The sequence below is a fragment of the Homo sapiens genome, chromosome 12, assembly GCF_000001405.40.
Source record: "Homo sapiens chromosome 12, GRCh38.p14 Primary Assembly".
NCBI classification, from domain to species: Eukaryota; Metazoa; Chordata; class Mammalia; order Primates; family Hominidae; genus Homo; species Homo sapiens.
This window is the reverse complement of record NC_000012.12, coordinates 107,643,406-107,660,070: the sequence shown is the minus strand read 5'-3', so window position 1 is coordinate 107,660,070 and position 16,665 is coordinate 107,643,406. Positions and strand designations below refer to the sequence as shown.

The 16,665-nt window shown below is 47.2% G+C and overlaps 1 protein-coding gene across 8 annotated transcripts in view; it reads right to left on the bottom strand.

Annotated features, from left to right (window-relative positions):
- Nucleotides 429-16,665, bottom strand: part of ABTB3 (ankyrin repeat and BTB domain containing 3) — a 341,209-nt gene continuing 324,972 nt past the window's right edge. For all 8 annotated transcript variants that reach the window (NM_001018072.2, NM_001347943.2, XM_047428301.1 and 5 more), the window contains 3 exons: nt 10,797-10,865; nt 8,284-8,397; nt 429-2,562 (listed from right to left, as the gene is read on the bottom strand). In NM_001018072.2, the coding sequence (NP_001018082.1) occupies nt 2,353-2,562; nt 8,284-8,397; nt 10,797-10,865 (393 nt within the window). In that variant the 3' untranslated portion in view covers nt 429-2,352. The remainder of the gene's footprint in view (nt 2,563-8,283; nt 8,398-10,796; nt 10,866-16,665) is intronic.

The following is a 16,665-nucleotide window of genomic DNA, read 5'->3' as shown; positions in this document are numbered from 1 at the left end:
CCATCCTCTAGCACCAGCTCATGCTGGCCCTTGGTGGGGACACACCATGTGGAGATAACTTGTCCTTCTCATTCCCCCATCCTCAAAAAGTGTCATCAAGGCACATGAGTAACAGCCAGAACTCCACCCTCTGCAGGCGAGTTCTCTGCCTTAGGCAGTGCTACCTTGGTGGCCAGATGGCGGCACCTGTAGCTTCTCTGCCTGATGAGAAAAAGATCCAAGGGTGTCACTCAGAAGTGTATGCACCATGGGGACTAGGGCTTGGCTGCCACATCGCCAGCAACAGGAACATTTGTCTTTTATCTAGCATCTTCATTTCCCTTGGCTTTTTCTGCAGGGCCACATTGTCCAATCTCTTCACTGAGTGAAGTTCTGAGGCTTGAACTATTGGGATAAAGAGCCCACTCAAACCACACACACGATGCACGGCCTGGGAAAATCATTTCTTTTAATGACAGAGAAAGCACACCAAATGATAACAGAAGCCTCATTGGGAGTTACCACTGTACAAATCAATGCCTGGAGGCCCTGAACTAGCATTAGACATTCACAGGGAAGTCAGCTGAGGTTAAGGAAACATCCACGCAGCATCTCTGAGGATACAGAAGTGGGAGGAGGAAGGTGACAGCCGCAATGCACACGCTGTGTATCTGTAGCTTGGACTCTTCTTCAGGCAGTTCTTGTTTTCCTTCCACATTGGATGGTAGGGGCTGGGGGAGGTTTGCAAATGATCATGTGGAAGAGAGGCCTTGTGTATCAGCCTCGCAGAAGAGCCAATACTGTAGACAGATATCACCCAGATGCTCCATGGGCCATGCCCATGAAGCGATGTGACATTGGTCCTCTGAACAATGGTTCAGGGAGCTCGTACAACAGAAGAACAGTGGGTCCTTCACAATCTAGGGTCTGGCACAACTTCCTGAAGGCATGCTAGGAAATAGGTTTATCAACAAAACTTGGCTGTCCCCAAGGGTAAAAGTCATTCTCCTAGTTTTTACTGCATGTATCTAGGTTTCAAATTAAAGAACGAGAAGAAAGGCCGCAACTGAAAAGTTATCTGGAATACTGTGGCACTTTACCAATCTCTTTTGCTTATAATATATGGCAGAGCCAACGAAACCCTGTTGATATAAACTTTCATTATAATAATCCTGTACTGTACACTCTCAGAATACAGAAAGAATCCATCCTATCATACATGTTTCATCTTTAAAAATAATCTAACATAGTCATACTCTCTGGCTAGTAACAAACTATTAACATCTTCTGAGAATACAGAGAAAACTCTGGGATTAATAGTAAATTCTCTGACGTGCTGCCCCCCTCCCCCATTCAGCATCATCTATGAACACATTTCTGCAAAAGCATCCCCAAATCATCCGTAACTAGGAAAAGAAATGGATATGTTGGTTTCACCAAATGGAGTTTTAGCTAGAAATGATGGAACATTTTTACCTTGGCAAAAATGAAGCACAAACGTAACATTTCACAGGTTCGGGCCCATGCAAATGCATGTTATGTGGGGGTGTTTTATTCTCACCCCGAAACCACGATTAGCATGCAGGTTGCTTTCAACTATTGAATTAGAGATACTTATTGGCAGTGCACCTCTTTTGTGTAATCATGATCACTAAGGCAAGATTATTTCAACTTGTTTAGAATATCAGCAGTATCTTATCAGATGCATGTTTACACAGTGTGGACCTGTGACTTACTATTTAAAAAAAAAAAAGAAATAAAGAAAAATCTCAAACACAGATCCCTAAACACAATTTAGTTGAAAACGAACTGTTAAGCTTTTAGAAATATATTTTAAACTACAAGACTGCCCTGTTTTTGTTTTTTTTTAAATGAACATTTAAAAAAGTTCCCACCCCTAAAAATTTGCCAGATTATTTCCTCATTATTGGTCACAGCCTCACCAATTTGCTACCATGGTTGACGTTTGCTGAAGCACAGCTACCAAGGTCCTTAATGTGTAATACAATCTCTTCAGGGTTGGTACGGTGAAGTCCTCCAACTGTCAACCTGGAACCTGAGTGACCTTTAAAAGGCCTCAATCCATTCACTGGACAGTGGTCCCCGGCAGTGGGTGTTCAATGGTCCTAGGGGTGCTTTCAATTGGGGTTAACTTGGTTGTCCAGTTGCCCATTAAACTCTGGACCCAGCTGATCTGATCTGCAGACCAGTGGAAAGTCCTTTGTTTTTCAACAGGAACACGTGGGAGCAGTAGAGGCAGCTCCTTGGCCCAGCCAAAAACAGGTGCCAGGTGGAATTTGTCTGTGTTTGTGTAAAGCCAATGCGGCAGGAGAACTGGAAAGTTCCCGGGAAGCATTCCCTGCACTAGGCGTTTCATACCACGGAACCTTTGGAAGACGACAAGTGGATGGACTGAATTCTGATGGCCAACGTCCTCTGTAAGTCCTGGAGCACATCCTGGCCGGTCCCTTCACCATTTTTGTCATACAGGAGCTGCTTGAATGCTTCGTTTTCAATGAGGACCATCATGTTTTTGAGAAAGTAGCCTTCGCAATATGCTGAGAGCTCTGTGACTCCAAGAAACTGTGGAGAGTGGAGAGGAAATGGGAGATGGTTACGCTTCCGAAAAGCACCTTTCAGATTATGCCTTCAGAGCTAATGATGGCACACACCTGCTAAGGAAGACTGGCTGCAGAATGTCTCTGATTCCCCAGCACACACCCATGGGGTATGACTTTGCGGCTCATGCTATCAAAGGGTTAGAGTCCATTCCTCCACTCCTTGGCCTTGTGCCAATCAAATCACTTCTCTGGGCCTCAGTTTTCCAAGTTACAAAAGCAAGGGGGTGGACTACAGGGGTATCGTGCTCTGCTGTGCCATTTAGGACAGGGATGCATGTGGTAATTCTGTGGCCTCCAAGAGGCTTATAAAGCTTGATGAAGTTTATCAGTGAGTGGGCTAGTTATCCCACAAATGTCCATATAGATGCACAAATCCTGGAGCTGGAAGAGATCTTAGCAATCCTTTCATTCTTTTTTTTGTTTTTTTTGAGACAGGGTTTCGCTCTGTTGCCCAGGCTGGAGCGCAGCGGCATGATCTCGGCTCACTGCAACCTCCACCTCCCGGGTTCAAGTGATTCTTCTGCCTCAGCCACCAAGGCGGGCGTCCCAAAGTGCTGGGATTACAGGTGTGAGCCACTGCACCTGGCTTAGAAATCTTTTCATTCTTTCAACATGAATCCTGCTCTTAGAATCACAGAGTACAAAGCTTCCTGGTACAGGTGGGGAAACTGAGGCTCCGAGTTGCCTATCTGATTCTGAGGACACAGCACCCCCCACCAGCACACCTGGCACTTGCTTTGTATATTAGTGTCATTCGGCACAAGTTAGTGGAAAATAAAAGCATAATATATAGCTACATTGATAATATTTGATAGTATTTATTGAATGGTGACTGTATATTAGCCTCTGGCCTATCTCCACACAACTAATTACTAACAGAACTGGGATTGGAGCTCTCATTCCCTAGACTAGTGGTTGGCAAACTATAGGCCTGAAGGCCAAATGTGGGCCACCACCTGTTTTTATAAATAAAGTTTTATTGGAACACAGCCATACCATTCATTTACATATTCTCTGGCTCCTTTTGCAAAATTAAGTAGGTACAAAGCCAACTGTGTGGTCTGGAAAGTTGAAAATATTTAGCTGGCCCTTTACAGAACATGTCTGCTGAACCTTGTCCTAGATTATAATTTTTTCAAGGCCAGAGACCATGTCTAATTTTTTTTTTTTTTGACAGAGCCTCACTCTGTGGCTCAGGCTGGAGTACGGTGGCATGATCTCTGCTTACTGCAGCCTTGACCTCCTGGGCTCAGGTGATTCTCCTGCCTCGGCCTTCTGAGTAGCTGGGACTAGAGGTGTGCGCCACCATGTCCGGCTATTTTTTTTTTTTTTTTGTATTTTTTTTAATAGAGATGGGGTTTCACTATGTTGCTCAGGCTGGTCTCAAACCCCTGGCTTCAAGTGATCCTCCCACCTCAGCCTCCCAAAATGCTGGGATTACAGGCATGAGCCACTGTGCCCAGCTCCTCTAATTTCTTATTATATTCTGATGAATACAGCTCCTAGGAAATGCTGGCTACTCAATAACACTAGCGAATAAATCCTTTGGTTTCCAAACCTGTGTTCTTTCCATCATGATGCACTGTTGAACTTAACCACAACAGCTGAGATTCAATCTGATGAACCAGCTTGTTCTTTTTCTCAAGAGACACCCTGAAAGGGCCACAGGAAGCTCCAGGGCCTCTTTTCATGACTGAATAGTTTGGGACAGGTTTACTAGGAAAAAAGAGCTGGCTAAGCCATGCATTTGTGGAATGGGTTTCTCCTCTGTATAAAATCCCACAGCTGTCTCAAACGGTTAGATGTAATACAGAGGTAACGTTGCGGAGGTCCTGGTTGACATTTGGAACGTGGCTCTTAGCATCTAAACGCCTGTATTTCCTGGAGTTACAAACGCAAGTGTTGTTTTCTTTCTTTACCACTCTTTTTACTAAATTAGCCTCTATTTGCAGCACAATCTGCCAGTAATCAAATCCACATGGTGTGTGACCATTAGCGGGCTGCAGCATCCACAGCACAGGGGAAGCAGTGCACAGAAAGGACAGGGGCAGCTGGCTTTGCCCTGCCCTCCAAGTGACTATCATAAAGGGCAGATATTTCTCTTGGAAACACTCCAGGTAGTGGCTGGGAAGGCGGAGGCAGAGCTGTTGTCTGTAAAAGCCAAAGCCCTGTCTGCAAAGGGGTGTTTGTAGGTGTATATATATATATATATATTTGAAAGAGGCAGTTTCTCTGCCATAGGTGTTCTAAGCCTGTATTCCCAGCCGGGGCTCACATCCCATCAGGCGACATTAGTAAATCACGAGATATGCTACAGAAGCTGCCTGACAACGAACTTGAAGAGATTAAAATGGGATTGTGAAACACAGGCCTCACTGCCAAGGTGGTAGGCCACAGAAAAGCCACTGTGGATGTCAAGTTCATGGGGCAATTTGAGTGACCATGGTCAAGGAGGAGGGCAGAAGAGCACAAGGCTAATCAGGCTCTCTGCCTTGGTACAGAGAGAGAGAGAGCCCTCTCTTCTGCAAAGTAATCAGTTTAAGATTAAAAAAAAAATGCTTGTGTCCTGAGAAACCAGATTTTGGTATAATCCTCATTTAACTAGAACACTGTGTGTGTGTGTGTGTGTGTGTGTGTGTGTGTGTGTGTGTGTGTATACAATGTAGACTGACTGTACTTTTTGATTTACTGATAGCCAAGCAGAAAATCTTGAGTATCAAGGATTATTGAAAATATTTCCAACATTTATTAAGCCAGACAGTAAACACAGGGTTAAGAACCTGTGCTTTGGAGTGAGACAAATCTGAGTTCAAAAATCTCAGTACTACACTTCTGGGAATATACCCCCAAATAACTGAAAGCAGGAATTTGAGGCCAGGCGCGGTGGCTCACATCTGTAATCCCAACACTTTGGGAGGCTGAGGCTGGTGGATCACCTGAGATCAGGAGTTCAAGACCAGCCTGGCCAACATGGCAAGCATCTGTCTCTACTAAAAATACAAAAATTAGCCAGGCATGGTGGCGCATGCCTGTGGTCCCAGCTACTTGGGAGGCTGAGGCAGGAGAATCGCTTGAACCTGGGAGGCAAAGGTTACAGTGAGCTGAGATCATGTCACTGCACTCCAGCCTGGGTAACAGAGCAAGATTAAAAAACAAACAAACAAACAAAAACAAAGAAAACCCCAAAAAACAGGGATTTGAACAGATATTTGTACACCCATGTTCATAGCAACACAATATTATTCACAATAACCAAAAAGTGGAAGCAACTAAAGTGTCTATTGATAGGTGAATGAATAAACAAAATATGGCATGTACATGCAATGAAATATTATTCAGTCTTAAAGAAGAAATTCTGACACGTGCTACTATACGAATGAAACTTGAGGACATTATGCTAAGTGAAATAAATCAGTCACAAAAAGACAAATACTGTATGATTCCACTTATGTGACACCCCTTGAGTAGTCAAATTCATAGAGACAGGAAGTAGAATGGTAAATACCCGGGCCTGGGGGAGGGGAGGAATGAGGATTTGGTGTTTAAAGGGTACAGTTTCAGTTTGGAAAGATGAAAAAATTCTATAGATGAACGGTAGTGATACTTGCACAACAATCAAATGTACTTAATGCCACTGAACTGTATACTTAAAAATGGTTAAAGTGGCAAATTCTATGTTATGTACATTTTACCATAATACAGAAATCTCATTACTAGCTGTGTGACCTTAAGCAAATTACTTCACCTCTCTGTGCTTCGGTCTCCTTATGACATGGGACTAGTGTAGCATTCACCTAAAAGGGTTGTAGTGAAGATTAAAAAACAAGATGCAACAAGGCTCTTAGCACAGGTGCCTGCACATTAAAAGGGCTCACTGAATGCTGTCTTAAGACAAGCAAGTAGCATCTCACATGCAATCTGATTTTTCTTTTCTTTCTTTCTTTTTTTTTTTTTGAGACAGAGTCTTGCTCTGTCGCCCAGGCTGGAGTGCAGTGGCGCGATCTCCACTCACTGCACGCTCTGGCCCCCAGGTTCATGCCATTCTCCTGCCTCAGCTTCCTGAGTAGCTGGGACTACAGGCGCCCGCCACCATGCCCAGCTAATTTTTTTGTATTTTTAGTAGAGACGGGGTTTCACCGTGTTTGCCAGGATGGTCTCGATCTCCTGACCTCGTGATCCACCTGCCTTGGCCTGCAAAAGTGCTGGGATTACAGGCATAAGCCACTGTGCCCGGCCAATGCAATCTGATTTTTCACAACAAGCAATAGGAGCGTCATTCACGTGCACTGTCACTGTCCAGAGCTGTGTGTGATATGGGAGTCATGTGTACTGGGCTCCAGTTATACCAAACGGAAAATTTTGTTTTAAACTCCTAAAATAAAATAACTCTTCATCTTGGCTGGGTGCGATGGCTCATGCCTGTAATCCCAACTACTTGGGAGGCTGAGGCAGGAGAATTGCTTGAACCCAGGAGGAGGTTGCAGTGAGCCTAGATTGCACCATTTCACTTCAGCCTGGGCAACAAGAGTGAAACTCCATCTCAAAAATAAATAAAAATAAATAAATAAATAAAACAACCTAACTCCTCATCTTAACTGGTTTTATTGTTTCCTGCTGGAACTGTTAATCCCCCCTGTGCTCAGCACGTGGAACAAAATGCAGTGGTACCTGGACAAAGTATTTTACTTCTCTTGGGCCCAGTCTCCCCACTGATGAAGTGAATTGGATGAAATCAGTGGTTACTGAAAACTGGAGTGAAGACTGGTTTGAGAGCTGATGTCACTCTAGCAGCTTGTTAAAAATATAGATTTCTGGGCTCCCTGAGGGGCTACTGCTGAGGTCATCGGGGGTGGGGGACTACACTGGCATTCAGCAAGCTCCCCCAGGTGATTCTAATTAGTAGCCAGGTGTTGGGTCTGCCTGATTAAGCAGACTCCAAAGACTTCAGCAGTGCTTACAGCCTGTTCTCAATCTTGGCCCCATCTGAGAATCACCTGGGAAGCTTTGAAAGATGCCTTTTTCCAGGTTCTACTCCCAGAGGCTGATTTGATGAGTCTGTGATGGGTCCCAGGCACAGGAAGTTTAAGTGAGTCCCCAGGTGATTCTAACTTGCAGCTGGCATTGAGAACAATTCTGGAAGGGCGGTTCTCACCCCTGAGCACACATCAGAATCAGCTGGAGGGCATGCAAAGCCACAGGTGGCTGGGTCCCCCCTCAAGTTTCTGATTCAGTAGGTCTGGGGTACAGCCTGAAAATGTACCTTTCCGACAAGTTCCCTGATGTTGCTGGATTGGACAGCCACTGTTCTAGAACCTTAGAAGGTGTACCTTAGACCAGCAGCAGAGACATCACCTGGGAGCTTGTTAGAAAAGCCAAACAGGGCCCATCCCAGCCTGTGGAATTGGAGTCTGTGATGTGAGTCATATGCACATGAGAGTCTAAGAAGCACTGTTTGAGAACTCTGCCTTTGAAACTTCTGGGCTCCTACTTTCCTTGTTCTGGAGGGGAGGTGGAAGGCATCTTTTCTAAGGCAGGAAGCAAGACCTTGGCAGAGGCCAGCGGCTTAGCCCTGAGAGAACTGGCCCAGCACCCACTCTCTGCCCTGCCTCTGTGTTTGCCAAGGAAAAGCCTCCCCGGCTTCAGCGCTCCTGTGTGCGCACTGCGCGAGAATGAGATTGATTACCTTGGCATGGTTGTAAATATCCACACAGTTGTCGGTATTGATGCTTTTCGCACAGATAATCTCACAGTGTCGCTGCAAAGCCTCCAGCTGGAAAAACTTAGCAGCAGACAGAAGCTAAAAATCACAAAAAGAGTCTGTTAGAGGCTGGGAGGTGGATGGAAAGGAGGTAACAATAAGGAACTATAGTGGTGAGACAGTCCTCATCTTCACCTTCCACAGCAGTGTCACAGGTAGGGGACGGGAAATGATGCACAAAGGTAACACTAGAGGAAAAGGACAAAGATAGGATTCCACTGTGGGGGAAGACGGGGGAGCGGGAGGGGGAGGGGAGGACCAAGCAAACTCAATTCATACCCATCACAGCAGGCGGTCAACCCAAAATGCCCAAAATTGTTATGTCCAGAAATAAGGGTGAAAATCAGGGTATTATCAGCAAGATGGATATCAAGGTGTCTCACTCTGTTGTCCAGGTCTCCACTCAAATGTCACTTCCTCAGAGGAGCCTCCCTCTATCCCATCTGTCCTCCTTTCCTCCTTGCCCTGTCTCACTCCTCAGAGTCACAGCACACCAGATGTGACGTCATGTCTGCCTCCCTCAATAGAGTCCAGGAGGGCAGGGATCTGTGTCGGTTTTCATCGCTGCTGTAACCTGGCCCTGAGCACGGTGCCGGCCTCGGAGATGCTCGACAGATGTGTGTTGAGAGAACGACAGGCTTTTGGGAGGGGAAAGAGCTAAGAGCAAGAGTTCAAAGGACTGGTTTTGGGAACGGGGACTGGAGGGAGGGCAGGGTGGGCCCGGGCAGCTGCTTTGTATTCAAAACTCTTCTATATGATTGAAATGATTTAAATGTACATTCCTTATTTTTAGTTAAAATTATTTTTATTTTTATTTTTGTTAAGGCTAGACAAATGAAGCAGTGGGAGTGGAGAAGGAATACAGAAATCCATAACTGGTTGTGATCAGTTAGTTGTAAACAGCCGTGTGCAGTGGCTCATGCCTGTAATCCCAACACTTTGGGAGGCTGAGGTCAGGAGTTCGAGACCATCTGGCCAACATGGTGAAACCCCGTCTCTACTAAAAATACAACAAATTAGCTGGGTGTGGTGGCAGGTGCCTGTAATCCTAGCTACTCGGGAGGCCGAGGCAGGAGAATGGTGTGAACCCAGGAGGCAGAGGTTGCAGTGAGCCGAAATTGCACCACTGCACTCCAGCCTGGGGGCAGAGTGAGACTGTTTCACACACACACAAAAATTAGTTGTAAACACCAGCGCACTTTTGTTTACAAATAAGCCCACATCCTCGAGACTAAAACCATCAGAGGAGTAGTCCAGGGAGACAAGAGAGTCACTGTGTGTCCATGTGTGTGTTTGGGTGGGGAGAGAGTGACCACGGAAGGTTTCACAGAATAGGAAGAAAGGATAAGTGGGCCTGCAGTGAATACATAGTCCTATTGGCGATCACTGTGTGCCAGGCACTGTTCTAAGCACCTTAGCATATTTTAAGATCCTCTAAAAAACCCAGTGAGGTAGATAGTTATCCCCATTTTATGGGTAAGGAAGCTGAGGATATGAGGTTAAATAACTTGTCCACAGTCACACAGCTCAGAAGCAGTGGAGCCTGGATTTAGACTAGTCTGGCCCAGCTTCCGTGTTGTAACCACTGTGTGAGGTCTGCTCTTGAACAGTTGATTGTGTCCTGACATCTCTCATCAGCCAGGTACCCCCCAGACGTCAGATAACTGACCGAGATCCTGGCTCTTTTGCTGAGGATTAATTGGGGGTGATTTTTGGCTTCTGGTTCAAAGCTCCCAGTTTCAATTAGGAAAATGAACAAGATTTCCACTTTTGGCAAGGAACAGGGGAAAATCTTGGCTTTGGACAAAAGCAGGCAGAAACAAGACTCCTAGACAGGCGGGGCTAGAACCAGTTGAATTACAAGAGGCAGACAGGGGGCTGGGGAGAGTGAAGGAAGCAGGCGTGGGCTTCATGACTGTGGGATGCTCAGTTTGAGGAAAGCCAGGAGGAGACTGTAATCTGCCCTCAGCTTCTATATCTTGGAAGAACAGACAGTGTTGTGATTTGAGGGATGTTTTTAGGGGATATAATTCTTTTATTAGTGACAAGGGAGAAGACGTCATCTAGGATATTTCCTGATGATATCACTATTAACGCCTCAGCTGTAGCCTCAGACTTTTCAGTCAAATTCCTTCCCTTCCCTGCCCCCTTACCACCAATGCCAGTTAAAATTGGGTTTCACTCAGTGGCTACTAAAAGCAGTCAGGCAAGCAAGTGCACTAGCACCCCAGCCTGCCAGGGAAGGTCTCTGATGAGAAGCCCTTCCTGTTTGGGAGGACTGAGGAGTCAGGAAGGAACAAGAGCCCCAAGTCTTCATCCAAATGAAAACCCAACACGGGTCCTTCCAGACACTTCCATGCAGGCTGGTGACCCGAGTTTACAGAAGTGCCACTCACCCAAGGGACCTATGATAGCCAACACCACAATGGATCCCTTACCTCCATGATCTCATTGTTTTTAATGAGCAGTGACTCTGGGCCACCATAGTAGAGATACTGCATAACCAGCTGGAAGAAAACACAGAGAACAGTGTCAACAGCAAAGACGCATCATCTCAAAGCCATTCGGTGGATGCCCCAACTCAGGCTTAGTTCCTGAGACCTCTAGGACATCCATTCCAAATGGTTGCCCATTTCCATGTCACCAGTGACCAAGAGCTCACTACCTTAAGGGGAGAAGACTGCCCATTTTGAACAGTTTCATCAGTCAGATAGTTTGATACCTGTTGAAACTTGTCTCCATATGTTTTCCCACCCCCAGTTCCATGCCCACCCCCAAGACCAAACTAAACAACCCTAAGCTGCTGCTCCTCATGACGGCTTTTCCATCTACTCATGATAATCACGGGGTCTTCTCCCACCTCCCGCCCCAGTCATGCTGCGCGGAACTGCTGTACACGTGGCATGGCTTTAAGAACCTGCACCAGAGGGTTGTTCCCCTGCGAACATGGCCCAGTTTGACTCAAAGCCTCCTGTTGAAGTCCCAGAGGGTGACTCTGGGATGCCACAGGGCCACCTGCTCCTTATTACAATGTGCCTAGCTCCATGGTGAAGCCATGAGGGGTCCAGGGTTTCTGTGTATCACTAACGATGTCAATGGCCCTAGTCGGGATGTTCTTTATTCATGTGACTCACGATGTCCAAACAGCAGGCAAAACTTCCAGAGCTTTGCAAACTGGTGTCCCTTGAATGGAATGGGGCCCGTGGATGTATCTGACTTTGCTATCTTATCTCCTAGGACAACTGGGTGTTAATTTTTTAGGTGGTTTGTCCCAGTCTCCTCTACTTCCTATTGTCTTTGTGTGTGTGTGTGTGTGTGTGTGTGTGTGTGTGGAGATGGGGTCTTGCTCTGTCACGCAGGCTGGAGTGCAGTGGCGCGATCTTGGCTCACTGCAACCTCCACCTCCCGGGTTCAAGCAATTCTCCTGCCTCAGCCTCCCAAGTAGCTGGGACTACAGGTGCACGCTGCCACGCCCGGCTAGTTTTTTGTATTTTAGTAGAGACGGGGTTTCTCTGTGTTGCCTAGGCTGGTCTTGAACTACTGAGCTCAGGCAATCTGTCCACCTCGGCCTCCCAAAGTGCCAGGATTACAGGCATGAGCCACTGTGCCCGGCCCCTATTGTCTTCTACCTGTATGTTTGACAAACTCACTTTACCTCCCTGGCTCTAAGGCAGCTGTGTGGGCAAAATCTACGGACTGGTTACCTCCCTTTTTTGGGTACTTGTAAAATGAGCCTGGACTGGGTTGTCCTCAATGGTCCCTTCAGTCCCTTCAGTCTGTGACCAATATAGGACACTAAGTACAATAAGCCTGGAATTGGGCTGCCTCAGTTTCTGATCTGGCTCTGCCACTTAAAAGCTGGGGGACCTGAATTAAGTTAGGCTCTGTGTGTCTCAGTTTCGTATCTGTGAAGTGGGGATAATGTTACCTGCCTCATGGAATTGTGATGAAGACTAAATGAGTAACTGCATAGAACAGGCCTAGCAGGGGCCTGGCACATAGCAAGTCCTCTGCAAATGTCAGCTCTTGAATTTTCTCTGAGGCTGAAAAATCTTTTCCCTTGTTTCTGCTACATGCCGCCTTGTTCTCACCCAGGCCATCTGAAAGTCTTTGCGACTGGTCTCAGACTGCTTTTCGCATGTGTGTTTAAGTTATTTTAAAAATACTGTTTATAGCTTTATTGAAATTCTTATTTATCATTATTATTTTAGACAGGGTCTCATTCTGTCACTCAGGCTGGAGTACAGAGGTGTGGTCACAGCTCACTGTAACCTCAAACTTCTGGTCTCAAGCAATCCCCCCACCTCAGCCTCCCAAGTAGCTAGGACTACAGGCACGCACCACCGTGCCTGGCTAATGTTTTAATTTATTTATTTTTAGTTTGAGACAGGGCCTCACTCTGTCACCCAGGCTGGAGTGCAGTGGTGTGATCATAGCTTACTGCAACCTCTGCCTCCCAGGCTCAAGCAATCCTTCCACTTCAGCCTCCTGAGTAGCTGGGACTACAGGTGTGTACCACCACACCTGGCTAATTTTTGTATTTTTTGTAGAGACGGGATTTCGCTATGTTGCCCAGGCTGGTCTTGAACTCTTGAGCTCAAGTGATCTTCCTCCCTTGGGCCTTCCAAAGCACTGGGATTACAAGTGTGAGCCACCATGCCTGGCCAAAAGTTGCCTTTTATGCTCGGACCACTCAACCGCTTGCCTGCATCAGAACCTCCCACCCTCTCTTCTAGTCCTGTGCTTTTGCCCACACTGTTCCCTCTGCTAGGATGCCCTCCCCTTCTTCTGTCCACTGAGCTCCGCCCGCTCCTTCTGGATCTAGTCAGCGGTCATCTGCAGTGGGGCGCCTCCTCAGATCTCCACCCCACCACAGGTCACATCAGGCAATCGTGCATCATCCTCCACTGCAGTGTTGTTTCTCACTAGAGTCAGAGGGCACAACAAGGTCTTGCCCACCGCTGTATCCCAGGGCTTGGCACACAGCAAGCAAACAGACTGCAGTGTGTACACCCTACCCATAAACACGAATCCTCGCCTGTCTGTGTTTGAGTCTCCCACATACCGGCTTTGGGCTCTTGTGACCATCTGCTTGTCGCAGAGATGGTGGTGGCGTCTGAGAATTTGTGCAATAACACAGCATTGTTTACCCTCCCCTCTCCCACCCTGATGGGTCATAAGCATTTAAAATATCAAGTCAGCAAATGTTGGGATTGGGCCTTATTAAAATCAATTTATTCTCCTAGCAGTTTTCATTTACAAAGGCTAAACAAATAACAATAAGAGCCTTAAGAATGACCGCCCTGAACATTTATAAAGCATTTCTCTAGCACGTGGTCTCCTATATTCCAGGTGGGGCTGCTGACTTGAAACGCTGCTCCTTAGTGGACTGAGATCCCGGGGCTAATGGAATTTAAATTGGGCTGGCCTAGGCCTCCTTCAAACTCTGCCGGCACAAGCCTTTCTGCAAGGGGGTGAAACAAACGCTTATTAGGCTAATGGGCCTGTTTGTGGAGTTGTTTTTCTTGGCAGCTGCCAACCTGCATGAAGCAGGGATTCAAATGGCACCCACAGCTTCGCGGAGGCCCCCACTTCCAGGTGCAGCCTCAGCTGCGTCCGGCCCTTGCCGGCGCGTGATGTTAAACAGACTTGGGGGAGGAGACCCGAAGCAGGCTCATTTACTAAAATTCTTCTGTCAGCATGGACTGAAGTAAGCCGGCCCCTGGGAGCCTCCTGCTGGGTCGCATTCAGCCCTCCTTGGCCTATTTCAAGCCACACATGAGGCTTTTCTTCTTTTACGGGGAAAGGGCGGGCACACGGAAAAGTCCCCGGGTCCTGTTAAATTTTCCCTTCCCATTACAGTAACGCGAGTCTAATGTGGCCAGGAAACCTTCCCCCGTCAAAAGCAATTACAGGCCTCGGGATTCCTCCGGGGACTGCCGTTTCCCATGGAGGTCTCGTTCAGTGAGGCCGCTTGGCAAACATTTATTGAGCGCCTACTACGAGCCAAGTTCTTATTACAGGAACCTCCCCAGTTAGTCCCAGGCTTCACAGTGTAAGCTCCCCCTTCATGAGCACTGGGGGAACACGCATTTTCCAGCTTCCAGCTCATGCTCCAGACAAATGGGCCGAAAGATTCTTTCCTCAGGGCTGGGTGAGTTTAGCGGGGGGCCCAGGTGCCCACAGAAGGGAGGATTTAAGAGAACAGGTCTGGGAGTCAGCCAGGCCTGGGTTTGAACCTCAGCTCTGCTAGGAGCAGCAGCGGGAACCTGGACCACTTACTCCGCCTCTCTGAATGCATGCCCTTGTCTGTAAGGTGGGGATTATGGCTACCTCGCAGGGCAGCTGGAAGGATGAAATAAGGTGAGGGGCAGCAGTGGTTCTCAGAGACAGGTCCCAGAGCAGCAGCAGAAGCACCTGGGTTCTTGTTAGAAATGTGAATTCTGGGCCAGACGCAGTGGCTCACGCCTGTAATCCCAGCACTTTGGGAGGCCAAGGCGGGCGGATCACCTGAGGTCAGGAGTTCGAGACCAGCCTGGCCGACATGGAAAAACCCCGTCTCTACTAAAAATACAAAAAGAATTAGCCAAGCGGCACCTGTTATCCTAGCTACTCAGGAGGCTGAGGCAGGAGAATCACTTGAACCCGGGAGGCGGAGGTTGCAGTAAGCCGAGATTGCGCCATTGCACTCCAGCCTGGGCAACAAGGGCAAAACTCTTCTCAAAAAAAAAAAAAAAAAAGTGAATTTTGACATGGTGCATATGTGCCATGGAATACTATGCAGCCATAAAGAATGAGATCATGTCCTTGGTGGCAACATGGATGGAGCTGGAGACCTGAACTTATGCATCTCATGCCTGTAATCCAGCTTCATCCATGTACTGCATCCATGTTCTCACTTATAAGTGGGGGCCAAACATTGAGTACACATGGACACAAAGAAGGGAACAATAGCCACCAGGGCCTGCTTGAGGGTAAAGGGTGGGAGGAGGGTGCTATGCTTATTAACTGGGTGACAAAATAATCAGAACACCAAACCCCCATGACACACAATTTAACGAACTTGCGCGTGTGCCCCTGAAACTAAAGGTTAAAATGTGAATTTTCACACCTGCAGAATCAGAAACTCTGGGGTGGGGTCTAGGAATCTGCATTTTAAAATGTTCTCTGTGTTTTAACAAGCACCCCACCCTTCTCCAGGTATTCTGAGAGCTGCTAATGTGTAAGAAATTCTGTAACTGAGAGCACAGGTTCTCCAACTTGGCTGTACTTTGGGATACCGGGAGAAGGTGGGGGAGACCGCAAAATGCTGATGCCTGGGCCCCACTGCTAGATTCTGATTTAATTGGTCTGATGTATAGCCTGGGCATTGGGAATTGTCAAAGCTCCCAGGTGATTCTAATGTGCAGCTGAGGTTCAGAACCACTGGCTTCGAGCCTTACACACAGTGCTCAAGATGTGAGAACTGTTCTTACTCTCAGCACATTCCCATTTAGGAAGGGTATTCTAGAACAGTGTCCCCACGCTTTGCTACCAGGAAGGCTGGGTTCAAATCCTGGCTCTATCGCTAACTAGAACTAAGACTTTGGACGCATCATTTAGCTTCTCTGGGCCTCAGTTTCTTCATCTACAAAAATGGAGATAATGCCACACGTAGTAGCTCATGCTTGTAATCCCAGCACTTTGGGAGGCCAACCAAGGTGGGTGAATTGGTTGAGCTCAGGAGTTTGAGACCAGCCTGGGCAACATGGCAAAACCCAATCTCTATAAAAAGTACAAAAATTAGCTGGGTGTGATGAAATACTTCTGTACTCCCAGCTACTCAGGAGGCTGAGGTGGGAGGATGGCTTGAACCCAGAAGGTGGAGGTTGCCGTGAGCCAAGATTGTGCCACTACACACCAACCTGGACAACAGAGCCAGACCCTCTCTCTCTCTCTCAACAAAAAAAAAAAAAAAAAAGGAATAACAATCCAGATAACACGTGTAAGCACAGATCAGTGCTTCACTACTCATGGCTCCACAAACATTTCCTCATCACCCTCCAAAGCAAAGCCACGGCTGCATGGAACCCAGCTTTCCAACCCAACAGCTGCCATTCAGGAAAGGGCTATGACCACTTTGCTCTCAGTAGAAAATGGTGGGGAGGGCCTAGGCTGAGGGGACATGGGCACTTGGATGTCTGGAGTATGCCAACTCCCCAGGCCCACCTTGGGGCTCCAGCCTCCTCACTACTCTCCTGACCTCAGGGGGACAGCTCACCCAGGCTTATCTTATCTTTGGAAACCTTTTTTTTTTTTTTTTTTTTT